This window comes from Homo sapiens, chromosome 7 (genome assembly GCF_000001405.40).
Source record: "Homo sapiens chromosome 7, GRCh38.p14 Primary Assembly".
Classification (NCBI taxonomy): domain Eukaryota; kingdom Metazoa; phylum Chordata; class Mammalia; order Primates; family Hominidae; genus Homo; species Homo sapiens.
The window spans coordinates 144,257,663-144,283,005 of NC_000007.14; the positions used below are offsets into that span (position 1 = coordinate 144,257,663).

Genomic DNA, 25,343 nt, shown 5'->3' on the forward strand with positions numbered 1-25,343 from the left:
TTCCCATGGCATAAGAAGCTGCTACAACTTTTAAGTGTGTAGGTGGTGGATTTTGAAATCTTTCTAGATTTTTCTTTCTTGAGAAATCTGGGTTTATCTTGAAAACCCTGAATTAGAAAAATTAGATTGATTTCATTCAGCGGCAAACACAGGCAGATGTATACTGAATCATATTTCTTAAAAATCTCAAATTTAGAAGATTGTGAGGTTGAATGAGGTCATCTCCTGAAGCTTCTATAGCAGGAATGCCGATCCATGATGAAGGACAGGATTGCATTTATTTTCTTTAGATGATCTACCATTGAACAGTAGAGACAGGGTCCCTCACGGTCTGTATCCAAACAGAACCCGGATTTTTACAGACTGATCGAGGCATAATGCTCAGAACTACATCTCTTTAGAGGCTCACTTTGCAAGGAAAAAAGAAATCATTCTGCCCTAGAAGGGGGCTGTAGGAAGTATTCACAATGAGTCAATTAATATCAAGATCTCCTGTTCCAGGAAACTGTTACTAAGTATTACAAAGGAAATTTTATGTGCTCACATAAGTTTAGAAAACACTGGCTTAAAGCTGGTATAGAATTATTCTTTCCTAGAGAAATATTTACAGCATTCACTATGCTAATATGAATTGTGATCCCTAGACAGAGGCATCTGATGTGAAGTAAGTCTCAAACTTATTTGACTATAGAACTTATTTTTAAAGTCCTCTGAAGGGACCAGTGTTTTGAGGAAAACATTATGGGAGGTATGGGACTGGATCAAAAGCTAATGAGGATATTGTAAGGGGTATTGTCCTGGTGTGGAGTGGCTGCAGCACAACTTGAAGAGATCAATTTCTAGAATTTCATCCCACATCTGCTGAAATCAGTCATTTAAAGGTAGGGCAGGAGATAGCTCCATTTTAAATAAATGTCTCAGATAATTCTCATGTCCATTGAGGGCAGAGGTCCCACCAGTGCAGAGATGGGTTAAGAACCGCTCAATGATGTAACTTCCTAGGTCACTGTCAGTCACAATGCCATAATCCTTTTCATAAAGCCCTTTCTACTCCCAGCACTCTCTTCAAAGTATTCTTCACTTCTGAGTTCCTAAGACTACAGATAAGGGGATTGAGCATGGGATTAAAGAGGCTGTGAAACAGCAGGAGATATTTCTTCTGCTCCTTGGGGTTCCCATATCTGGGTCCAACATACATGATAATGGCTGTGCCATAAAAGAGTCCAATCACACAGAGGTGGGAGAAGCAGGTGCAGAAGGCTTTCCTCTGAACTTCCCTTGATTGGATCTGAAGGATAGCACAGAGGATGCACATATATGAAACTACAATTGTGGACAAGGGTCCCACCAGCCCAGAAATTGCTCCGGCCAAGACCATGTTCTCATTGATGTGGGTATCTGCACAGGCAAGTTTGAGAACAGCCAAGATTTCACAAAAAAAGTGATAAATTTTCTGGGGCCTACAGAAGGGTAAAGGTAGAAGTAACACAAGATGAATCAAGGATAAAAGGACTCCAGTGGTCCAGGAAGTCACCGCGAGGGTGATGCAGACTCTCCAGGTCATGATGGCCAAATATCGGAGGGGGTGGCAGATGGCCACGTACAGATCATAGGACATCACCACCAGGAGGAGACATTCTGTGACAGCAAAAGTGGAAAACAGAAAGGTCTGCATCATGCGGCCCGCAAAGGAGATGGGCTTGGCTGGATGCAGGAGGTTCACCAGCATCCGGGGCACCGTGTTGCAGGCGTAGGCGATGTCGACGACCGCCAGGTGTGAGAGGAAGAAGTACATGGGGGCGTGCAGTCTGGAGTCCAGTGAGATGAGCCCCAGTATGGTCCCGTTCCCCAGCAGGGTGAAGACGTAGAACAGGGAGAAGAGCCCAAAGAGGAGCATCTGAATCCTTGGGCCAACGGGAAATCCCAGTAGGAGGAACTCTGTGATGGATGTTATATTGTCCCCCATATCCCTATGACAGAGGAAATCAAGTTAATGCTCATGGTTTAGGAGAAGTGTTTAAAAACAGATTCATTTTAACTTGTTCGGCACTCTTTGGTGAAGTAGAAAAGTGTTCAGACAGCTGCAGTGAGTTTTTGTGTTTTTAAATGAATGCTTCAAGACAATTTGGTAACGCTAAAATAAATGTTTAAAAAATATATGCAGGCCGGGTGCGGTAGCTCACGCCTGTAATCCCAGCACTTTGGGAGGCCGAGGCGGGCGGATTGCCTGAGCTCAGGAGTTCGAGACCAGCATTGACAACACGGTGAAACCCCATTTCTACTAAAAATACAAAAAATTAGCCCGGCGTGGCGGCGTGTACCTGTAGTCCCAGCTACTCGGGAGGCTGAGGCAGGAGAATTGCTTGATCCCAGGAGGCGGAGCTTGCAGTGAGCCGAGATCACAACACTGCATTCCAGCCTGGGTGACAGAGCCAGACTCTGTCTCCAGAAAAAAAAAAAAAAAAAAAGAAAAGGAAAAAAAACGCATGCACACGTATACATAGGTTTCTTTTTTATTACGTTAATTTTTTAATAAAGGCTAAAATTTAAAAATAAACGTGTCACATATTAATATATCCTTTTGGTCTTTTTTTAAAAAAAATTTGGCTCAGGCCTTTCAGGGATGAATGTCACATGTCAATGTAGTACACAGTTTTTGTTTGATTCAGTGAGCTATCTCATATCCTTCAAATAAATTCTTCTTTTCCTTGGTCGTATTATTCAGAGTTTTTCTCTGCTATGTTTCAGAAACAATGAACACTAACTGATACACATGTCAAAGTCTTAAAACCACATTAAGTTTAATCTTAAAGTGGAAGGTTTAATTAAGGGCGGGCTATACTAAGGTTCGACATACCATCAGCCAAATACACCAGTGGTCATTCACCTCTTAAACTTTCCACTCTTGCACTGATCATCACCTCCACAGCAAATATCTCACAAAATCTTTTCTTATCCAAGTGTAAAGACTTATTTTTTAGCCCAGAACCTTATTTTTTGTTATTTACTTTCCCACAATGTTTAGATGAGCATTTATGTGAATGACTGAATAGATTTGCACCGTGTCATTATCTAAACACGAAAACAGGATCAGTAACTTTTGTTGGATTTGGGCTTACTATTGATAAACACTCTAGAATACACAGTTTTAAGCATTGTCTATGCAGGTGATTGGCAATAGTTCGATGAATTTATGAGGAATGCTGCAGAAAGAGTCTCTGAATTCTCTGATTGAACTCAGGCCTCCTTGATCCCACAATTAAAATGTTAGCATAAGCATGATATTGTCATTTTTGCTTAAATTTTATTCTCATTTTTTATGTAAAATTATATTGTCTTGGAGATAGGAAGGATGAGCAATAATCCTCCATTTAAATGTCCATAAAATTATAAATTTAATCCTGCAAAACCGACTAAAAAGTATTTCATTTGCATTGGATTTTTCCTACCACCATTCCAAGGATAAGTATTATGCTCATGTTGAAAAAATAAAATAATTTAGTTATTTATTGATTTCTTGTCATTTATTTCATGTTGTCCTGAGATTGGATCTAAACTTTGAGCTCCTAATCATCGCTCAGATTGTGTGGCCTCGTAAGATTGTGCGTAATAAGTAAACAAGCATCTGTACACTTGTTAACTTAATGAGCTTCTGTATGTGACACTTTAAGCCTTTTTAAAAATTAAGTGCTGGGCTATGCTTGGTGTCTCATGCCTGTAATCTAAGCACTTTGGGAGGCTGAGGAAGGAGGTTCGCTGGAACCCAGGCATTTGAAACCAGCCTGGGCAGCATAGAGACCTCATCTCTTTTAAAAAATTTTTAAAATAGTAATTATATGAAAAAAAAATTTTAAAGAAAAAAAGTGCTGGTCTTTTTTGTTAACGTTGAACATTTACCAGAGTCAGTTGCACACAGATATTTCTTGAACTTAAAAAAAGCTACCAGCCAAAATAACCATTAACATATTGATTGCTTTAATATATTAATATACTGATAGATAATATGCTGATATCTATTAATATATTTTAGTCATATTATCCTATTATCTAAAACTATTGGTGAGCAAAATTTGAGCATTAAGAGAGTAGAAATGTACTTTTGCATGATATTAAAGTGTGACGGTAAAAGCAAACAAGCAATGAAAATGACCTTAAATTATATTTGACCAGAACTCACAAAGGCAGTTAGGAAATCCAGGTGTCTAGAGATGACTGCTGTGTAAGAACCTAGATAATCTTCATATAGAAAAGGCAAACATTTCTACAGTGTGGCTGAGTTTACTGATGGTGCTGGGAACTCTGCTGCCCATCTGAGAAATGCCAAGGAAGGATCTTGCTTCTTCAAGTGCTTTTGAGAAGGGAAGGTGTTATTAAGTCATCACCTCCACAGAGTACCTTCCAATTATCATGAGAGCTTTGTGTGACGCATGAGAAAATAGGCTTCACTTGCACCAGCATGATTTCCATAGAGACATGAAGAACCCAACCACTGTTATTCTTCTAGGGGCAGAGAATTGAGCTTCTGTCTCATTCTGTCTCTGAGGAAGCCACAGTGATAAAGAGAATGAGACTAAGGCAAGAACAGAAAATGCCTTTGTAACTGAAAGGATACATATATTATCTAAAGTAATATCCTGGGACCACGTGGCTATCACAGCTACCAAAATATGTGAATTTGTTAGAGTTTCATGAATATTTATGCTATTCCTTCCCCAAACATTCAGAAAACACTTGGGAGATGCAAAGATCCATGTCTAGGTTTGTTTGGCGGTTAAAATAAAACCTTGACATTAATTCCTGCAGTCATTTCTTTTAGTGTAGTCTGCTTTCCCAAATACCCAAAAGCTGTTGGGAGAATAAACTTGAATTCCAAGGTCTTAATCATTAGGTCATTTTACATAGAAACTCAGACACTTTATTTTTAAGCACCAATCTGTAGATGTTGGAGATTCATTTTAAATAATCTGTGGGGCTCATTGACCTGTCTAGAAGAAGAATGGATAAGGCATAAGGATTGAGCAAAATTTACTTTTGAAAATTTTCTTTTTTTTTTTTGATAATATCTGGTCCTGCCCTTATGGGAAGGATAAAGCTCTGTAAAAGCACAGGGCCAGCTCCTGTTTTCTGAACCCTTTCTATGGATGGCGATGAATCTATGTATTCTACTTATCAGAGTAGGTTTACCCTCATGGATTATATTTGAGGTCCCACATCTGAGTGGTTGACATATTGTGCCAATATACCTAGCCAAAGTGCCCTTGCATTAGGCCTGGCTTGTTTACTAAGGTATCAGCTGGTTGGAAGGACCTAGGAGACTGTATGTATAAGCTGAGAGAGAGGCATCAGTGATATAGGGATCTGGGCCAACTGTTCATTCAGCCTACTTTTGTCTTTTGCATTTTCTCTTGCCCTAAAACATATTGCATCCATTATAGGATAGATGGTTGCAGTGACCATTCAGTCTTATGACTTGGTAGATCTAATAGCACTTCAGCTCAAGTTGGACAACTCCGGATTTATACTTACTTGGCATGCCTTTCTCACTTAGCTTAATAATTTCTAGCTTTTAATTTAATGACGTTCACTTGAACATTTAGAGGACATTATAGGGTGGTTAATTGGCTTAGCTTCAACATTGTTGTGTCTCAGGGACTAGGGAGGCCAGAAGAGGAAGAGAGAGAGGGAAATGGCCTGTCGGTGGAGCAGTCAGAACACACACAACATTTATCAATTAAGTTTGCTGTCTTATGTGGACGTGCTTATGCTGCCCTAAAATAATTACAATAGTAACATCAAAGATCACCTATCACAGATCATCATAGCAGACAATAATAATAAACCCATTTAAAATACTGTACAGATTATTAAAATTTGACCTAGGACACAAAATGAGATCATGCTGTTGGAAAAATGGTGCAGATAGACTTGCTTGAGGCAGGTTAGCCACAAAATTTTAACACAATGGAAATGCAATATCTATGAAGCACAATAAATTGCAGAACGATAAAATGAGTTATGTCTGTATATAGAAATGGAATTAATTTGATTGTGTTTATCTTAAATTCTGTGACCTTAATGGACTCACTTCTTAATTTAAGGAGGTTTGTAAAATAGATTTATTTGGATTTCTATGTAGAAAGTCATGTCTGTTGTAAGTAGGGACTGTTCTATTTTTTCCATTCTGATCTGTATGTCCTTTAATTATTTTCTTGTCTTATTGCAGTGTATAACTTCTAGCACTGTTTTGCATAAGGGTGATAAAAGCAGACATAGTTCCTTTATTCTTGATTTTAGAGAGGAACCATTCAGTTTTTCACCACTAAATATGATGTTAGTATAGCTATGTCCTACATAACACTTTGGTCGGTGATGGACTGCATATATGAGAGTGGTCCCACAAGATTATAATGGGGGTGAAAAAATCATATTGCCAACTGATGTCATAGCCGTAATAATATTGTAGCACAATGCATTACTTACATGTTTGTGGGATTGCTGCTGTAAACAATCCTACTGCACTCCCAGCGTGGTTAAAAGCAAACAACTATGTATTTTACTATGCATTTACTACACTCTACTAAACTTTTTGTCATTATTTTATTTTATTTTATTTTGGAGGTGGAGTCTTGTTCTGTTGCCCAGGCTGGAGTGCAGTGGTGCAATCTCAGTTCACTGAAACCTCTGCCTCCTGGGTTGAAGTGATTCTTGTGTCTCAGCATCCCAAGTAGCTGAGATTATAGGTGTGCAACATCATGCTTGGCTAATTTTTTATATTCTTGGTAGAGATGGGGTTTCACCATGTTGGTCAGCGTTTTCTTGAACTCCTGACTGCAGATGATCTGCCTACCTCAGCCTCCCAAAGTACTGAGATTACAGGTGTGAGCCACTGTGCCTGGCCTTTGTCATTATTTTAGAGTGCACTCCTTTTACTTATTAAAAAAAGTTAACTGCTAAACAGTCTCAGGCAAGTCCATCAAGAGGTATTCCAGAAGAAGGCATTGCTATCATAGGAGACGACAGCCTCATGCATGCTCTTACCCGTGAAGTCCTTTCTGGATGTTCACACAATGTCAGAATCACTTGACCGCACATTTCTCAGAACGTATCCGCATCATTAAACAACACGTGATTGTATAGTGTTAGCTTTTTGTAGATGCTTTTTATCAAGTGGATGAAGTTTCCTCTATTCCTGCTTTATAGAGAGCTTTTATCATGAATGGATATCGAAATGTGTTAAATGTTTATTATGCATCAACTGATATAATGTAACTTTCCTTCTTTTGTTTGTTAACATGGTGGATTATTTTGATTGACTTTTTGAGATTTAATCAGGTCTGTTTTTCTGGAAACAATCCCCCGCTGGACATGGGTAAATTTTGAAAAATATACTATAGAACTCTATTTATCAAGTAAGTTATACATATCTTTATATATATATATGTATATATGTGTGTGTGTGTGACACACACACACACTCTCTCTCTCTCTCCTGGTTTTGGTATCACTGTAATAATAGCTTCAAAAAATAAATTGGGAAATGCTCTCTCTTTTACTGTTTTCTGGAAAAGATTGTGTAGAATTGGTGTTAACTTTTTAAAAACATGTTAGAATTCTCCAGTTAAACCATCTAAGCATAAATATTTATTTATTGGTAGTTTTAAAATTATGAATTCTATTTTCTTAATGGTTATAGAGTTATTCAAATGATCTATTCATGCCTGGTGAGTTGAGTTAGTTTGTGTTGCAGGAGGAACACTGCATTTTGTCCATTTTGTCTATTGTCTAATTTATGTGTGTGGAGTTGTTTGTAATATTCCTTGATAGTCCTTTTTTATGTGTGTTTATGTCTGTAGTGATATCGCCTGTTTCATTATGATATTTAAAATTTGTTTTTTCCTTTTAATTTATGCTTGAGTTTGCTAAATTTTATTAATCTTTTAACATAGCTATCTCTTTGTTTCATTGATTTAACCATTGTTTTTCTCTTGTAAATGTAAGTGTTTTCTGTTCTTATCTTCATTAATCCCCACCCTCTACTTGCTTTGAGTTTATTCTGCTCTTCTTTTTCTAGGTTCCTGAGGTGGAAATCTATTGCTCACTAGAGACTTTTCCTCTTTACTAATGCGTGCATTTATTGCTCTAAGTTTCCTTCTCAGTACTTTGATATGTCACAGTTTCATGTTTATCCAGTTCAATGTATTTTTAAATTTTTCCTTGAGACTTCTTTGACTGATAGATTATTGTGAAGTGTGTTTTTAAATTTCCAAATGTTTAGGGATTTTCATATCTTTCTTATGCTGATTTCCAATTGGATTCCCTACAATGATTTCTGGTTTTCATCTGCTCTGGATGATTACTATCTCTTTTAAATTTGTTGTGGCGAGTTTTAGGGCCTAGGACAGCTCTATCTTGCCATGTGTTTCGTCAGCACTCAAAAAAAATATGTGTATTCTGCTGTTACTGTGTGGAATATTCTGTAAATGCCAAATAGATTCTTTTGGTTAATGGCATTTTGAGTTGTTTTATATTCTTGTTGATTTTCTTTTTTTTCCTCTTTTTAAAAACATGAAATGCTTCACAAAATTTTGTGTAATCTATATTCAAGAACCGTTTTAATCTTGTTGGCATCATTCTGATTTTAGAAAGTGCTGCCAAAGCCAACACTCCTTGCTGATTTTCTGTCTAGTTCTATCAATTATTGAAAAAGGCATGAGGAAATTTCTAACTATAATTGTGGATTCATCTATATCTCCTTTCAGTTTTCTTTTTTTAAAAAAATCAATGAAAATTTATTAAATTAAGCATAAAGTTACTTTCACATTTATCTACAACCACAGTGAATACAGTTCTTGGCATGAAGACACCACAACCTTTAGAATTTAAAGCCTCCTCACCTGCAAGATTACATATATAAAACTCCCACTATTGTTTCTCTAAGAGTGGATTAGTTCACCAAGTTAAAAGTTATATGATCTAGAATATAATAAAATGGAAATGATTTACTCATAAGATTCATATTCAAACCATCTTTATTTACGAAATACTATCCTGAGAACTATTATTCCATTAAACTTCAATTTGAGAAAAGTGCAATCACTTAAGTAACAGCAGTTACTTAAACTGAAAATGAGATCAGTCAAAATTACTTTTGAAGAAAGCAACAATATTGTCAGGTTTCTTGCTGTGGTTCTGGATGTCCAGTAGCAGGCTCCTTTGAAGGCGGAATCAATCCTGAAGGGAACTCGCTTCTACCTTCAGAATGTGGGGTTGGGGTAAAATCCAGGTCTCGGATGAAGGTAAGGAGGTAAACCCCTCGGTGGATAGATGTTTCTCATTGCAAATGGAGCATGTGGTGGACCTGGGAAATCCCTTGGTGGAAAATAACCTCGAGAAGCTCCAAACATGGTTCCTGGAGGAGGTGGGGGGAAAGGAGGTCCTCTTCTCATGAACGGGCCCCTTGTATCCACTGGAAACAATGGTCCTCTGACTGGAGCAAGAGGTGGAGGAATAAAGCCAGGGCCAGTTGCTTCATTTTCAGCAGGGAGAGATGAATCAGGCACATTTAAATTACCAAGATCATCTTTGGCATCATTTCTACTGGATTCCATTTCTGAAGGCATTGACCTATCCATTTTATCCAAAGAAGTCATTTTAAAACTTCTGGGTTCTGCTGGTCCAGACAGTCTTTCAGAATTAGAATAAAATCTGTCTTCCCTTTGTGGAGGAAGAGTTGAATCAGGATATGATTGCCCTGGTGGAGGAAACATCATCCTACGGTCCTGTTCCACCGGAGATGACAGGGACCCAGTGTCAGAAGGAGCCCTGTGAGGATCGATTAACCTGTCATAGCTTGGTTCTCCTCTTTCATTGGTAATCTGATGGTCCAGGGGATTCCCTGGGCTGCTTGGGCCTCTTCCTCCTCCCCCTGGAAGCACAGGTGAGAGTCTGAGTGGATCCTCCAACAAAGTTTGAGGAGAGGGAAAAGCTCTCGTTTCAGATGAAGGCCGACCCAATGGTGAGGGACTACATGGGGAATGCTCTCTGCCAAATGCTGTATTTGAAACATCGAGTGCATTAGGATCTTTTTCTAAAAGTTCAAATTTCAACTCTGTTTCAGTTAATTTTTGTTTGTTGTGAGCATTTTCTTTCCTTAAATCACTGAGGTTTCTTTCAGCAGTCCGAGCTGCCAACCAATTATCATGTCCTCTTTTCTCGTAGGAAATAACCTGCTTTTGATAAAAATGAACAGTTCTCTCCAATTCTTCTTCAAGATCTTTGGCTAGCTTTCTATAGGTCTCCAGCCCTTCAGTGGCACGGCTGATCTTTTCTTCCACTCTAGAAAGCTTCTCTTCTTCCTCTATTCGGTAATTTTCCTCCACTGTTAATTTCCTGTAGAGTTTCATTTCATTTTCTTGATAGAATTCAGTCATTATTTTAAGTTTCTGTTGAAGCTTCTGATTCTCACTTTCAAAATATATGTTTTCTGATTGCAAAGATGCTTGTTGAGTCTGAAGATTTTTAATATGCTCTGTAAGCTCTTCCTTTGTTTTGTCCACTTCAGATAACTGAATAATAATGTGGTTTCTTTCTCCTTCTAAGCTTTTTAAAGAAACATTTAACTTAGCAGCATGAATCAGTTTCTTCAAAGCTCCTTTCAGAGGATCATCTAAGTTAGCACCATTTTCCCATTGACTGTTCACTTCTAATTCCAGGTTATCATCATCCGTTGTGTCTTCTTCAAGCACAGCAGCCTGATCTTTCATCATTGGCAAGTGTCCAGTCAGGGTCTTGATGTGATTTTCTTTATCATTCAGAACTTGTTCTGCGTGCACTTTGGAGTCTTCAAATGTTATTTTCTGTTTATTAAGTTCACTCACTTGTCCTTTCCATACTTCAGCTTCTTGCTGAAAAAGCTGTTTATGGCTTGTCTGAAGTTGAGAATTTTCATTCAAAGCATCTTTTATTGCTATAGCCCGTCGTTCTTCACTCATTTTAAATGTCTTGCAGATGATTTTGGCTTCAGCTATTTGTGATTTGAGGGATTTTGACTCATCTTCTAGAGACTGTATACTTTTTGAAATATCCGCCATCAATTCATCTTGTTGAGAATGTTTAGATTTCTCTTCTTTTAAGTCTTTTTCTAGACAGAGGATTTCATCCTCAAGTTCAGAATTGGACCTGTTCAGCTTTTCACAGGTTGCCTCCAAACTTCGTGCTTCTTCTGCTGCCGCCTTCTCAAAGCTGGCATCCTCTAAAGATGACTCTACTTCATAGCCTTCATACTCTTTTTGAATAAGGCTAAACTTTTCAAGTAGTTTACATTTTTCTTCAATTAGTCCAGAAAGCGTTGCACCAAGTTTTTGCTCTCTTCCCACGTAAAGCCGACTCCTAACCGATCTAAAACTTCTCCACAAAAAAAGGAGAACAACAAAAAATCCAATAACAGCTGCACATACCACCAGTTCCGATGGAAAACCATAAGGATTCTCATCTGGTCTCATACTCTCAGGTAGTGCTGCCACAACTCTGCGTAGCTCCTCCAGGACCAGCCCCAGGTAGGGCTGAGGGGTAGCACCAGGCTCCTCCATAGCGTCGAGGCTGCTCTGGCGGTCACCGCAGTAACACTGGCCACAACAAGCGGTGGAGAACACGCAGCCTTGGGTCTGGAACCCGAATGCGCACGTGACAACCAACCGGAGCGGACCACTGTGGAGCGGGCTGCGGGGGGAGCTGGGGAACGCGGGCACCCACAGGCCTCACAGGCCCATGTTGTCCCCCACCACCTCCCCTGGCCCTCTTGTTACACTTCACATCCTGAGGCAGCGCTGGTCTGAGCCCGGCCCGCCTTAGTTCTGGCAGTTTTCACATCACATATTTTGAAGCTTTATTTTTTGGTGAATACACTTTTAAAATTGCTGTCTTCTTCATGGATTAAACCTTTGATCATTATATAATCTCTGGTTTTGGTAGTTTTCTTTGCTTTATCTGATATGCACACAGACACTCTTGCTTTCCTTTCATTAATGTTTGTGTAATATATCTTTTTTCATCCTGTTAATTTGGCCTGCCCTGTATTGGTAAAATTCAAGTGAGTTTCTTGTACACAGCATACAAGAAACATATAAGAAAGGGTCATACTTTTAAATACACTCTTCTATTATCTATCTCTTGGTAGACCATTCATAATTAAATGAATTATTGATACTTTAATGCGTAAGCCTGACATTTTTTGTTTTCTCTATCAATTCTTGTTTCTCTGCTTATTTTTCATGACTTCATGTGGGTTACTTGAACATTTGTTTTAGAATTCCATTTTGTTATTTATAGTGTTTATAGTGTATCTTCTTTTTTATAGTTTTTTTGGTTGCATTTTATAGCTTAGTGGTTGCATTTTACAGCTTAGTGTATATTCATTTATATAAACATTATCACAGTCAATTGGTATCATCTTTATTCCAGTCTGAGTGAAGTATAGCAACCTTCTGTCATATTATGTCTCTTTACTCTATCAAATTTGTAGTATAATTGTCTTACATCCATTTAGAATAACACTAGACAATGCTATGATTTTTGCTTGAAACATCAAACATAATTTAGGAAATTAGAATCTATGAAAATAAAGTGAGCATTTTAAAGCTTCCAGAAAGAAATCTGACACAACCTGTTTTGTCTTTCATTTTTTCTTTCTTTCCTTTATATTCATCATAGATGTTATGATGCCCTATCTGTTAACTCCAATATCTGGATTATCTATGAGTTTGTTTTTAATAACTGATTTATTTCTTATCAGTCTGTTTTACTTGCTTTTTTGTATATTTGGTATTTTTTTTAAAGTATGCTGAATTTATGGATAATATGATATAGAACTACTCAAGAATTTTGAATTTTTTTTCTGGGCAGAATTTGTAATTACTTGCAGATCATCTTGCTGCTCTCAAGATCTAGTTTTAAGCTGTGTTATGGTAATTATATTTTATTTTCCTCTTAGAACATATGCCTCACTCCTGGGATACTGCATCTCTCCTAAGAGAATTTTTAGAGTCCCAACTGAGTTTCTCAGTTGTTTGCCAACATTTCCCCATTTGGCTGGATCTGAACTCCAGTAGCTTTCCAGGAAGTTTTCAGTCCCTGATGATCTCTTCTGCTTTCTGTATCCCAGCAGTTTCTTTCTCCAAGGTCTCCCCTCTTCTTAGCCAACTGTCACATAGCTAAGGAGTCACAGAAGGACCAAAATGGCATGTATACACCCATTTCTAGGTTCTTTCTCTCTCCCATATGGTACATTGACCCCCAATTCCTAACCAATTTAGCAGCTTTGAACTCTATTCATTGCTTCTTTTGGTTCCCAAGACCATTAACCCCTGGTTGGGTCCCATTTTCCTGTACCAAGGTCAGGAAGATGCCTTTCTGGAAAATCCTGGCAAATGTGGTACTAACCTCATGTGCCTCACCTTCCTTAAAGATCTCATACCTGACTTGCTACAACAATGTTCTTCAATGCCTGCTGATATGGTTTGGCTGTGTCCTTACGCAGATCCCATCTTGAATTGTAGCTTGCATAATTCCCACATGTAGCCAGCCCACCTGAACCATGCTCAGCAGCTGGTGAGAGGTAATTGAATCATGGGGGTGGGTCTTTCCCATGCTGTTGTTGTGATAGTGAATAAGTCTCATGAGATCTGATGGTTTTACAAAGGGGAGCTCCCCTGCACATGCCCTCTCTCTTGTCTACCATGTAAGATGTGCCTTTGCTTTTCCTTTGCCTTCTATCATGATTGTGAGTTCTCCCCAGCCATGTGGAACTGTGAGTTCACTAAACCTCTTTCTTTTATAAATTACCCAGTCTTGGGTATGTCTTTATTAGCAGCATGAGAACAGACTAATACACCTGCCAAGAATTTTTTCTATATTTTGGCCAGATTGTATAGTTTTTTATGGTGGGAGGGTGAATCTGACACAAGCTATTTGGTGTCAAGTAGCCAAGTCACATACTAATTTATTTTTAATGTAAAGCTATACAACCTTCTTTCTATACCTAAATTTTTAATTAAAATATAATAATTAAAATATTACTAAAAATTTCTTAATGATTTTATTTCATGGTGAAAGAGACTCAGTCTGGAATGTAAAGTATGTCTTACCAGTATTTCTCGTTTTGCAGGACATTGTCTAGGTGTCCCTCTCCCATGGATGATCATTAGTGTGGTTTATTTTTATGCTTTGAGAAAATAAGTCTGTAGTATGTTACTATATTCTACTATATAAAGATACACTTCAACTTATGATAGGATTATGTTCCAATAAACCCATCATAAGTTGGTAATATTATAAGTTGATGATGCTTTTTTTAAAAAAATATAGACTATTGTCCTGTTGCCCAGGCTGGAGTGCAGTGGCTATTCTCAGGTGTAGTCATAGTACACTATATTCTCAAAGTCTTTGAGCTCAAACAATCCTCCTGCCTCAGCTTCCTGAAGAGCTGGGACTGACTATAGGCACACACCACTATACCTGGCTTGAAGATATGTTTAATAAACCTAACCTACCAAACATCATAGCTTAGCCTAGCCCACCTGAACCATGCTTAGAACACTAACATTAGCCTACAGTTGGGCAAAATCATCTTACACAAAGCCTATATTATAGTAAGCTGTTGAATATTTCATGTAATTTATTGAATACTGTACTGGCCTAGAGTTCCCACCCAGCCCTTTAAACTCCTGTATCCAAAGGTGACATCTGACCCTGCTTTCTTTTCTCTCCCTCTTAGACCCTCACTCACTGTAACACTCCAGAAGGTCCAACTCCTCTCTTGGCATGGCCAAGGCTGAGATCCACCGAAGCTTTTCACTTCTGAGAAAACAAAGCAGGGTCATAGCATCAATTGTGGGGGTGTAGGAGGAGGGCCAAGGATGGGGATGGCAAAAGACTGTGGGAAGGACTTATCTAGTTCCATGACTTCTATCAAACACTATATAGGACTCTTTTTGGTTGGAAACATGACACAATCTTGAACTATATGTGAATGTGTCTTGTCACACTTTACTTTTCCTCTTCTCTTTCCAGAATTATCCTCCTAATGGCTTCTCATATCTTCCAAGTTGGGGCGTAAAGTTCATTAGTCATAAAGTCTGGAGATTTTCTGTTTTGGAAATTGTGCTAAGCGAAGTGTTCATTTCAGTTTAGATTCCCTCCATCATTTGGCATGATTCTTGACACTCGCTTGCCTATCTCCCTTCAACTAACTATCTCAGAGATGATCATTGTTTCATAATAATAATTAGATCAGGGAGATATGTCTACTGTTTTATTTGTTGTTGTTGCACGGTGTAATCCAAGCTTAGGTTTGTAATCATCTGAAGGTTTCTGCATTCTGTTAGCCTCTGTGCCCAGTTGTGCCTAGGTAACTGGGAATGGACTATTACTGTTCCAGGCACAGTGCCCAAAGCACCAAACCAACAACATGCATCTGCACCTGATTATTTGACTTATGTGCTGTTTTGCACACAAACTCCGATACTAGTCCTTCTGTTCAATAAATGAGAACAGGTGTTATCGGTCCCACTCTGAAGTATCTTCCAAGGGACAAAACTGAAAAAGTGTCTACAACATAGGGATCCTCAAACACTTAGATACGTCAAACTTTTAAATGACTGTTCATATATCTTTTATAATAGCAATAACAGCTACAGGCTTTTACATGTTCATTATTGCAGGCACTGTGTTCCAGATTTTATAGGTACTATTAATACTCTCAAAAATGTATGTCTGTGTGAATGTATTTTATTTTATTATTATTGAAAACATGAGCAAATCAGCATTCTCAACACTATGGATTTCTGGTCAATAGAGGACTGGTTTGGAAGATGGGAGCACAGAAAGTAAAAGTCACCCAGCACTTGTCTTATTCACATCTGTGCCCACCAGCTGGGGCATAGAAGGGTTTCTGCCTCAGGCATGGAGGCATGTGCTCACAGATACCAGTATTCCAATTCCTTGCTCACTCCATACCAGTCCTTCTCCTTTCTGATACTACACAGACCTTGTCCTTCTTGAGTAAAGAGTATAAAATAGATGCTAAGCCTCGGTGGTGACTTTGTACCCTCTCCCACCCCAATCTCCTGCAAGTTATCCATTAGTTTTAGGAGTTTGAATTTCTCTATGGTGGTCCCCAGTCCAGAATGGGCTAAATGAGGCTGTGGCTGTCTTCTGGACACATTTTCTGCCTTGGTCTCACTTCTTTTCTCGGCTGCCCATCTTCCCCCACCCCCAGCTCCTCTGCCCAGCCCCATCTCACTGAGTCTCCGTGCGGAAGAGGAACTCGGCCTGGGCGCCCTGAGTGTTCTGCCGCAGAAAGAGTCGGAACAGGTTTTTGTGAGGTCCATGTAGCTTCATTTCACACTTTTCCCCCCGAATGGAGGAGAAGGGAGCATGGTCAAATACCAGGAATCGGCTACCCCTGCAAAATACAAATCTTTTCAACCTGATTCTAGAGTTTCCATACTTCACCTACCCTCATAACCTTGGGTTCGAAATCCCTACATCTACAGCCTGCAAATTCCCACAAAAACCATAAGATGGTCCTAACTTGCTCCCAAGATGGTAGCTCCAGGGTCCTCAGGGATTTGTCCTAGTCTGGCAAACCACACACCTAGTGCAGTGGATACATTACCACTTTAAAGAGGTGAAGAGATGGAATTTATATACATTTCCCAAGAACCTTAAGACCAGAGACTTAAGATCTGGAATTAGCTAAGTATCTCTAGAATAGCAGGTTGAGGCCAGTCCAAAGAAGCCACAAATAGACTCATGTGAGAATGTGATAAGCTAATTTGCTACATTTTGCTCTGTGTCTATACCATATTACATGTCCTGCTATGTGGTCTCATGATACAGTTTGATGGGATCCCCTTTTTGCTTTGGGCTTGTTTTTCTCTTCTCTAGGCTATGACCTGGGCTCTATGGGTTAAGCCATTGAGAAGGGCTCTTCTAGGAACATGACCCTTCTCTCTCCCTTTCAGACCCCCCTCTTTCCTCATCCCCTTCCCCTCTTGTGCCCTGGCCTGCCACTCCAGTCACTGACTCTCGGGGCCGAGACAGCAGCAGACAGTCATTGAAGAGGTGCAGGTGGACTGGACGCGTGTTCAGCTTCCTTCGTAGCCCTGGGGAAGCACTGAACTCCAAGGCTGTCAGCTCCCCACTTTTCACCAGCCAGCGTGACTGAGAAATGAGCGGGAATATCTACAGGGCAGAGGAAGAGAGAGAAGGCAGTGTCACAGATGGGAGAAGCATGAGGTTTGCTCCCAGTCCCACCCTCCTCCCCATGCCACTTCCATGCAAGTTCCACTTAAACAAGCATCTCTTCCACATCTGCCTTCTGGCTCATAACCCATCACTTAGATTCTCTTTCTCTCTGAACCCTCTAACTACCACTGTCCACTGGTGTGTGGCTCCCATGGTTGTATGCTCAGGTAAATAGAAGATGCCTATGGTCCAACTCAGGATAGTGAGTGTGTGGGACAGCTCTGCCCTAGAAGCCTGAACTGAAGGAGGGATGGAAGAGTCCAATCAGGGTATGTGATGGAACAAGTCAGTGAACACTATATGTGTCTTAGAGGTTAAAATAAAATATTAGAGGCAGGTCTGGTATCAATTCCATTTTTTATACCAGAGATATGTGAGCAGCTGGAATCAAACATGGGGGTGAGAAGAACTAGGTGGGGCGTCTTGGAGCTGGAATTTGGTTAAAGATGAGGGTGTGGTCTATGCTTAGTATGTGAATAAGGGATTTTCCTTCTTTTTCAGGAGTGTAAAGATAGTATGTGTTCTAAGCACGGGCGTGGTGGCTCACGCCTATAATCACAGCACTTTGGAAGGCAGAGGTGGGTGGATCACTTGAGGCTACGAGTTGGAGATCAGCTTGGCCAACATGGTGAAACCCCATCTCTACTAAAAATACTAAAATTAGCCAGACATGGTGGTGCAGACCTGGAATCCCAGCTACTCGGGAGGCCAAGGCATGAGAATCGCTTGAACCTGGGAGGTGGAGGTTGCAGTGAGCCAAGATCGCACCACTGCACTCTAGCCTGGGGCGACAGAGTGAGACTCTGTCAAAAAAAAAAAAAAAGATAGTATCTGTTCTAAGTTGGAATTTGAATGTGGAATGTCTATTTTAGATTTGTATTTCAATGAGGGATGCTGGCTCTAAATTTGGATCCAATCTTATGTGGGTTTGATTAGACTAGAAAGAGATTTGATAAAGTAATAAATGAATCAAGCACCAAAACATTCTTTTATAAAGGCTCATCCTGAAAAGTTCTCTCTCATTTGCCCATTTCTCAAATGCACCCCCCTTGTCCTCAGGTAACCACTGTTCCTTTTTTTCTTGTTCTCCTTCCAGAGTTTCCTTATGCACACACAAGCAGACACCTGTATAGATTTGTATCCTCCCACTTTTATACCAAAGGTGATATAATATACACACAATTCTTTACCTTCATCTTTTCACTTAGCAGTATGTCTTGGAGACCCAAGTAGGCCTCCCAGAAATAGGACAGAATAGAAGGTGGGCAGAAATGAGGGGAGGGGCTGGGGATAATGTGAGCAAGGTGGTTCCAGGTTAGGGGGTGATCTGCAGGACATGTTAAGGGAGTTCATGGGCAGGGATGGGGTGCATGGGACCGACTCACTTTGCACTCAAACTCAATCTTCTGGCTCAGGTAGATTAGCTCCTCTGTCCGTCGCATACTCTGGACATTGTTATTGCAGTCCCGGATCAGCTAGGGGTGCAGAGAGTGAGGAAAGGGGAAGGGCACTGTGTTAGAGGCTTTGACCTTTGAGTCCCTTGCAAGCAATCTGGAAATAGGTTATGACAGCCTCAGTCATTTTTCCCAGGCTGGAATTGGGCAGGCAGTATCAAGCACAAGTCCTAGGCAACTTTGTATGACTTGGGAGAACATTCCTGAACTGAGTAAAAGTGAGACTGAATGTGGGGGTGATGGTGGAGAGGGCACAGTCCCTTGATGTGGAGTGTGCTCGGCGTGGGAGAGGTGGCCGTGGGGTGTGTATGTTTGGAAGTTTGGCGGATGCAGGGAGGTGGCTGAGCTCTCCCAACAGGGTCCCACCTCCCATGCTCCCTGGAGTCATGGGCCTAGGTGGGAAAGACCTCTCTGAGAAGAACACACAGAGGGTCAGAGTGGAGGTGGTGGCTGCCTACCTGCTCCAGGGCGTGGTGTGCCTTCGTGGCCTCTGCCTCCTCCGAGGAGCCAGGCTGTGTTCTCTTCAGAATGTTCTATTGAACAGACAGTAGGCAGGAGTGAGATGGGAGGAAGAAATGGGAAACAGGAAGAAATGATTGGGGGCTGGTGAATGGAGAAGCTCAGGGACCACATTTTAGCAGCAAATATTTCCAAGCAAGCAGGCAGTGGGCAGCAGGGAGACAGGATGTGGACACCTGGCAGAAGAATGGTTGGTCCTTTGTTGTGGGTCTTCCTGAGGGCATCCCTTTGAGTTAAGGGGAGAGGATCAAGGTAGCATCTGCCCTACCTGGAGCAGCAGTTTGAGGCGGGTGATGCGTTGGAAGGGCAGAATCAGAAAGGACTTGAGGGAAAGGCGCTGGCAGACGGGGTCGCTCTCCAGCTTCTCCAAGACCTCCCGGAAATTGCTGTTGCTATTCCTGCACGGAGAGTGAGCCTTAGGGGAGGGGGGATATGGGGAGCAATGGGGGATGCAGTGAAGGTGCGGGGAAGGGAGGTCAGTGGAGTATCTGTGGGCTGGGAAAGAGCGGTGGGAGCTGATGTACAGGGCGCTCAGATGTGATGCTGGGGTAACCAATACAGAGGGCGGAATGGGGAAAGTGTGCTCTTGGGATAGCCCTCTGGGCTGGGGACTGGTGCATGGTCACCTCAGGGCCTACATGGGGATTAAATGGGGGATGAGTCTCACATCAGGCTCTGGAAGGTGCGTTCCTGATAGGTCTGGTTGGTGACATAAGGCAGGTAGACCCGGCGGAAGTCTGGGGCGTGGTTCAGGACTACGTCACATACTTGGAAGGAGAAGATATTGTTCTCAAAGTTCTCTTCCAGGTCTGAAAGGAACCTGTACAGGATTTAAACGAGTCTCATGAGACTTCTGGACCTCAGCTAAACAGCTGACTGGCCCCTGGTGTACACTGAGCTGGTGACTTCTTCACTCCATTAGCCAATAACTTCTATTGACTCTCTGCTCTGTGCTCCTTGCTATGCACTAGAATTCGCTCCAAAACTGTCCTGAGTTTGAGCCTGATTTAACACTTTTATTCTAATATTCCATTTCTCATTCTTCTTTTGACCCTGTTCAGGTTTTCTGATCTTTAGATGGTTTTTCCACCTCATCTCCAATGCAGTGCATGACCACAGTAATCCAAAACCTCAACCCAGGAAGCATTGCTCATTTACTTATCCATTAATGGATCTATCCACCCACAGACCCTCTCCTCTTCTTGCCATTCTTCTTCCTATAACCATCGGGAATCATGGAAGAAACTGAGGCCCAATTTCTTCCCATAACTGTGAAAATGAAAGGGTTTCTAAGAGGGGAAAAAAATAACGGAACATTTAAAGCCTAACAACAGTGAGGCTGAGTGAGTGGTATTTAGGAGAAGGGGAGTCTCACGTGGCGCTGACGTCTCGCACATCCTGTAAACGAGAGAAGAGCCATTGGTGCTCCTGGTTGGAAAGTGTGGCCCGGAGTGAAGTTGAAAGTTGGAAATGATCCACAGCTATGTTTAGACTGCGCAGGTAGGAGGCCTCTGACACAATCAGCTCAAATTTGACTTAGGAGGTTGGAGATGAGGAAGATTAATTAAGGATTTTATTTACCCCCTGGAATATGCCAGCCACTGTGTAATGTTTTGGGGATAGAGCAGTGAGCAAGATCCTTTTATGGTTCACAGTCACACCAGAACCTAAGTTGATCTGCGGGGAGGGGAAGAGCATTTGAGTAGGATTTAATCTAGGGTACAGGTACAGGCCTTCAAAGGTATAAAAGAAAAATATGCTTTCAAGAAATCTAAATAACAAAAACAAGAACAAAAAATGAGTAACAAAGTGAGATGGATATGTTAATTTGCTTCACTAGGGTAATTCTGTTACTATTTATATGTAGCCCATAACATCATGTTGTATATCTTTAATATACACAATGAAATTTATATTAAAAAAGCTAAATAGACTGGGTGCAGTGGCTCACGCCTGTAATCCCAACACTTTGGGAGGCTGAGGTGGGTGCATCACTTGAGTCTGGGAGTTCAGGACCAGGCTGGGCAACGTACAGAGACCCTGTCTCTACAAAAAATACAAAAATTAGCCGGATGTGATGGCGTGCACATGTAGTCCCAGCTATTTGAGAGGCTGAGGCGGAAGGATTGCTTGTGCCTGGGAGGTGAGGTTGCAGTGATCCCAGATTGCACCACTGCACTTCAGCCTGGTGACAGAGTGAAACCCCATCTCAAAACAAACAAACAAACTAACTAAACTAAATAAATTGAGCATTTTTTGAACCAAGTGTACAGCAGTAGTGGCCAGAGATGAAGCTGCAGCAGTCGAGGAGGCCTGAAGGGTAATGTAAACAATGTAAAACTGTTTGGACTTAAGACAATGGGACAATGAAAACAGGCTTTACATAGGAGAATAACTTGACCACATTTGTTTTATATAAAGTTATTTTTTTTTATTTTTTGGAATTGAGATGGAGTCTTGCTCTGTCACCCAGGCTGGAGTGCAGTGGCACGATCTCAGCCCACTGCAACCTCCGCATCCCAGGTTCAAGCCATTTTCCTGCCTCAGCCTCCTGAGTAGCTGGGATGACAGGCATGCACCACCACGCCCAGCTAATTTTTGTATTTTTAGTAGAGACAGGGTTTCACCATACTGGCCAGGCTGTTCTCAAGCTCCTGACCTCAGTTGATCCACCCGCCTCGGCTTCCCAAAGTGCTGGGATTACAGGTGTGAGCCGCTGCGCCCAGCCTGTTTTTCATAAAGTTATTTCTAAGCAGAATGAGAAGAAAAGATGAAAAGAAGCAAAAGCCATCCATGTTAAGAAACTGTTGTAATAATTCCACATGAGAGATGAAGGTCTGAATAGCCATGGAGCTGAAGAGAAGTAGATTAATTTTATAATTATTTATGAGGTAGAATTGGAAGGGTTGGATTATTTGCTAGAAATGGGGCCTCAAAGAGAAGGAAGGTTCAAAGCTAATGTTTTGTACTCACAGCAAAAGCTTTTTGAGTCGGGCACCTGGGTGAATGATGGAGTCATTTACTGAGCCAGAGAACTTTGAAAAGGCATAGATTTAGGGGATGAAGGTGATGAGCTCAGTTTGAGGTTTGAGGACAGATGAGAAGCAGGAGACAGAAGCAGGATATCTGAGAACAAGATGGCGCGAGAAGCAGGAGACAGAAGCAGGATATCTGAGAACAAGATGGCGCAGCTGTGGTTTAATGCATGCCCAGCATGTGAGAACTTGTCTGGAGGTTCCAGCAGGGGGCGCTATGACTCATGACCGTGCCTCTAGCTGGGCTCCTCATGCTTTTCATCCAAGCATGTGGCCTCAAGAGAGATGCCTGGATAGAAAAGAGAAAGGAGACACACCCTGGTGATGACTTGGATGACCAATGACACAGCCAGATGACCCTCCCATACAACAACCCTGAACAGGGACACTGAAGGCTCATTTGCATCCTTGCTCTAACATTCACTACACGACTGACTTTGGGTGGCTCATTTAACCTCTCTGAATCTCACTTTTCGTGTCCTTTTATGTGGATATAGTGACCCCCATCTCACTGTGGAAGATGCAACAGTTGAAAGAAATGGAGCCTGTGAAAGCACTTTGTGAACCCCAGAGGTACTACTTTATAAAATGAATATGTGTGTTTAAGAGATAGAAATGTAAAGCCCTTTCTTCTCACAAACATGAGACCAGGGCTGGAATAGGAGTCCTGCTGGACTTCCCAGCATGCTGGAGTTGGTAAAAGAGAGCTAGAACTCGTGTCATCTCCCACTGTTTGGTCAACAAATATGGGGAAGATGAGTTATTTTCTAAATATCTTCTCTGTGCTTAAAAATTTGCAGCCACAACAGGGCTCTCAAGTCTGAACTTTGCAAAGTCTAAAAATGTATTCTCTCTCTGACTTGGTAAAAGCATTGTCTATCCATAAGTCCTCCTGGCCCAAATTTTACTCCTCCCTGCCTCTGAAAGGCAGAGAGTATGGCACTAATATTTATCAAACTATACATCAAATATTACTGCTAAATTAGATATGCATTATTTCATTTAAACCATTCAGCAACCCTGAAAGGTAGGCATTATTATCCTCAATTTGCAAGTGAGGAAACTGAGATTTAGTGATGTTATAAGGCTGCCTAAGCTAGCAAATGGTGAAGTCATGTTTCAAACCTAGGTCTGGCTTACTTAAAATGAAAAGTCAACATTTTTTGAGAAATTACTATGTACCAGGCATTCATGTTTCTTGATCCTTGCAGTAACTGTTTGTATCTCAGTTTTACAAATGTCATTTGGCCAAAGGTAAATTGGAAATATTAAAGTGGGCTCTGGGGCTGGGCTCAGTGGCTCATGCCTGTAATTCCAGCACTTTGGGAGGCCGAGGCGGGAGTATTGCTTCAGCCCAGGAGCTCGAGACAACTGGGCAACATAGTGAGACACCATCTTTTCAAAAAATTAAAAAATTAGCTAGGCATAGTGGCACATACCTGTAGTCCTAGCTACTTGGGAGGCTGAGGCGGGAGGATTGCTCGAGCCCAGGAGGTTGAGGCTGCAGTGAACAATGATTGTACCACTGTACTCCAGCCTGAGTGACAGAGCAAGACCCTGTCTCTAATAAATTAATAATTTAAAAAAAAAGTGGTTTTCATATCCAGGTCATTTCTTCCAGAACCTAATTTCTTAAACATTATTCTATTCCATTGTTCCATACTGTCTTTCTGGGAAGAAAGGTTTTACCCCATATTTCAGACAAATTAATAAGAGGCGCTCTCCATGTAAAACTTACTAATGGTAATAGCTTAGAATCAGACAAACAGCCTCTAGTTCAGTCTTGCTGTTGGGAGTAACAATCAAGCAGGGACTGATGATCACTCTAAGGCCCCTGTTAGATTGATGGACCACAGGACAGCTGCAAAGGGCCCTCTTCAAGGGACCCAACAAAGAGCCCCGGAATGTGCCTTGGCTAAAGAGGAAAACTGTAGTGTAGCCTGAAACCCTGGTTGAACAGGGAAGCTTTCCTCTACCCTGAAACAGCAGTGATGATGGGATTAACTCCACATTCCTCCACACAAATTCAGAGGCAATGGCCACCATGTATAGCCCAGACCAACATCAGGTAGGAGCAAGTGGCCTATGGCATGAGGAGGTGAGGATGAAAGGGGAGGTGGTGAAATCCAGAAAACAATTCAACTTCTTCAGAATGGACATGACCCACAGCTGTGGCATGTACACGCGCCTGTGTGGTGGGGACAGCCGACTCTTGGTGGCAGTGGTGAGCAGGAGAGAAGGATGCTAGCAAACAAGACCTTGTCATCTTTTCTGTAGCCCCCTCCCCACCGTGGCCTGCCCAGTACCTCTTGCAGCTTTTGGTCTTCATGGGTCATGGAGAGCAGCACGGTGCTGTTGCGCACCACGGGGATTTCCTGCCAGAGGGAGCCGCTGGAGGCCATGGAGAGCCGCTGCAGGTACGACTCGGAGGAGACCAGGGCCTTCCGAGGCTGCCGCGGAGAGCTAGGCCCGGGTGTCTCGGACAGGCTCTCCAGCCGCTGCTGGCTCTGGATCTCCTTATTCAGGACAACATCACTATACTCCTGGTAAAGCAGCTGGGCTGCAGGGCAAAGAAGCATGGGAAGGAAGAGAAGCAGGAAGAAGGGACGGTGAGCGGAGGCAGGGAAACAGATCTTCTGCAATGCCTTCTCGCTAGGGACATCCCCACCCCACTGCTGACATCCACAAGCCCCTCTCCAGTGCTGGGCAGAATGCCCACCTGGGTCTATAGTTCCACTTCAAGGTACTCACAGGAGTTGATGAGTTTGGAGCAGCGTCTTGAAAAGCCTCCCATCACCTCCTTTGGTTTTTTCTCCCTGTGGAGTAAAGAAGGGCTCTGGGGTACCTACTGGCCATTAGACACAGAGCACCCCAGGTGACTGTGGGGGACAAAGTCTCTAGCCTCTGGGATGTGTGCTGGGATGTCAAGACCAAATCCCCCGGAGAGGCACAGAGTTGCAACTTGACCCACTTGGGCTAACATGGAGCTTTTGTGGGGTTTAGTTCACAGCCATAGGGCTTGGGAAGATGG

General features: G+C 41.6%; 2 protein-coding genes, 2 long non-coding RNA genes and 1 pseudogene across 5 annotated transcripts in view; 1 reads left to right on the top strand and 4 right to left on the bottom strand.

The window, feature by feature from the left end:
* On the bottom strand, nucleotides 1-7,130 carry OR2A7 (olfactory receptor family 2 subfamily A member 7). The gene is made up of 2 exons (NM_001005328.2): nucleotides 7,039-7,130; nucleotides 1-1,970 (listed from the first exon to the last, which is right to left on the bottom strand). Exon 2 carries the CDS (start codon nucleotides 1,964-1,966, stop codon nucleotides 1,034-1,036), a length of 933 nt encoding a protein of 310 aa, NP_001005328.1. The 5' UTR covers nucleotides 1,967-1,970; nucleotides 7,039-7,130; the 3' UTR covers nucleotides 1-1,033.
* The window catches only part of ARHGEF35-AS1 (ARHGEF35 antisense RNA 1), a 104,269-nt gene that overhangs the window by 62,342 nt on the left and 16,584 nt on the right, over nucleotides 1-25,343 (top strand). The window contains exon 3 of the long non-coding RNA NR_126022.1: nucleotides 22,810-22,885. This is a non-coding gene — a long non-coding RNA (ARHGEF35 antisense RNA 1). The remainder of the gene's footprint in view (nucleotides 1-22,809; nucleotides 22,886-25,343) is intronic.
* The window catches only part of OR2A1-AS1 (OR2A1 antisense RNA 1), a 117,146-nt gene that overhangs the window by 19,090 nt on the left and 72,713 nt on the right, over nucleotides 1-25,343 (bottom strand). The window lies entirely within an intron of this gene.
* The window catches only part of ARHGEF34P (Rho guanine nucleotide exchange factor 34, pseudogene), a 27,008-nt pseudogene continuing 2,998 nt past the window's right edge, over nucleotides 1,334-25,343 (bottom strand). Inside the window, exons 3-13 of the transcript NR_033942.1 lie at nucleotides 25,064-25,128; nucleotides 24,619-24,872; nucleotides 20,653-20,812; nucleotides 19,945-20,097; nucleotides 19,546-19,675; nucleotides 19,217-19,291; nucleotides 18,690-18,779; nucleotides 17,084-17,241; nucleotides 16,298-16,459; nucleotides 14,783-14,853; nucleotides 1,334-1,970 (exon numbers count right to left, since the gene is read on the bottom strand). The product of NR_033942.1 is annotated as a Rho guanine nucleotide exchange factor 34, pseudogene (transcript). The remainder of the gene's footprint in view (nucleotides 1,971-14,782; nucleotides 14,854-16,297; nucleotides 16,460-17,083; nucleotides 17,242-18,689; nucleotides 18,780-19,216; nucleotides 19,292-19,545; nucleotides 19,676-19,944; nucleotides 20,098-20,652; nucleotides 20,813-24,618; nucleotides 24,873-25,063; nucleotides 25,129-25,343) is intronic.
* Nucleotides 9,012-11,626, bottom strand: CTAGE8 (CTAGE family member 8). The gene has a single exon (NM_001278507.2). The coding sequence runs from the start codon at nucleotides 11,586-11,588 to the stop codon at nucleotides 9,255-9,257; it is 2,334 nt and encodes a 777-aa protein (NP_001265436.1). The 5' UTR covers nucleotides 11,589-11,626; the 3' UTR covers nucleotides 9,012-9,254.

Excerpts from the sequence above, each read along its gene's own strand:
- CTAGE8 (NM_001278507.2), bottom strand. The coding sequence starts at position 11,588 with ATGGAGGAGCCTGGTGCTACCCCTCAGCCCTACCTGGGGCTGGTCCTG.
- OR2A7 (NM_001005328.2), bottom strand. The coding sequence starts at position 1,966 with ATGGGGGACAATATAACATCCATCACAGAGTTCCTCCTACTGGGATTT.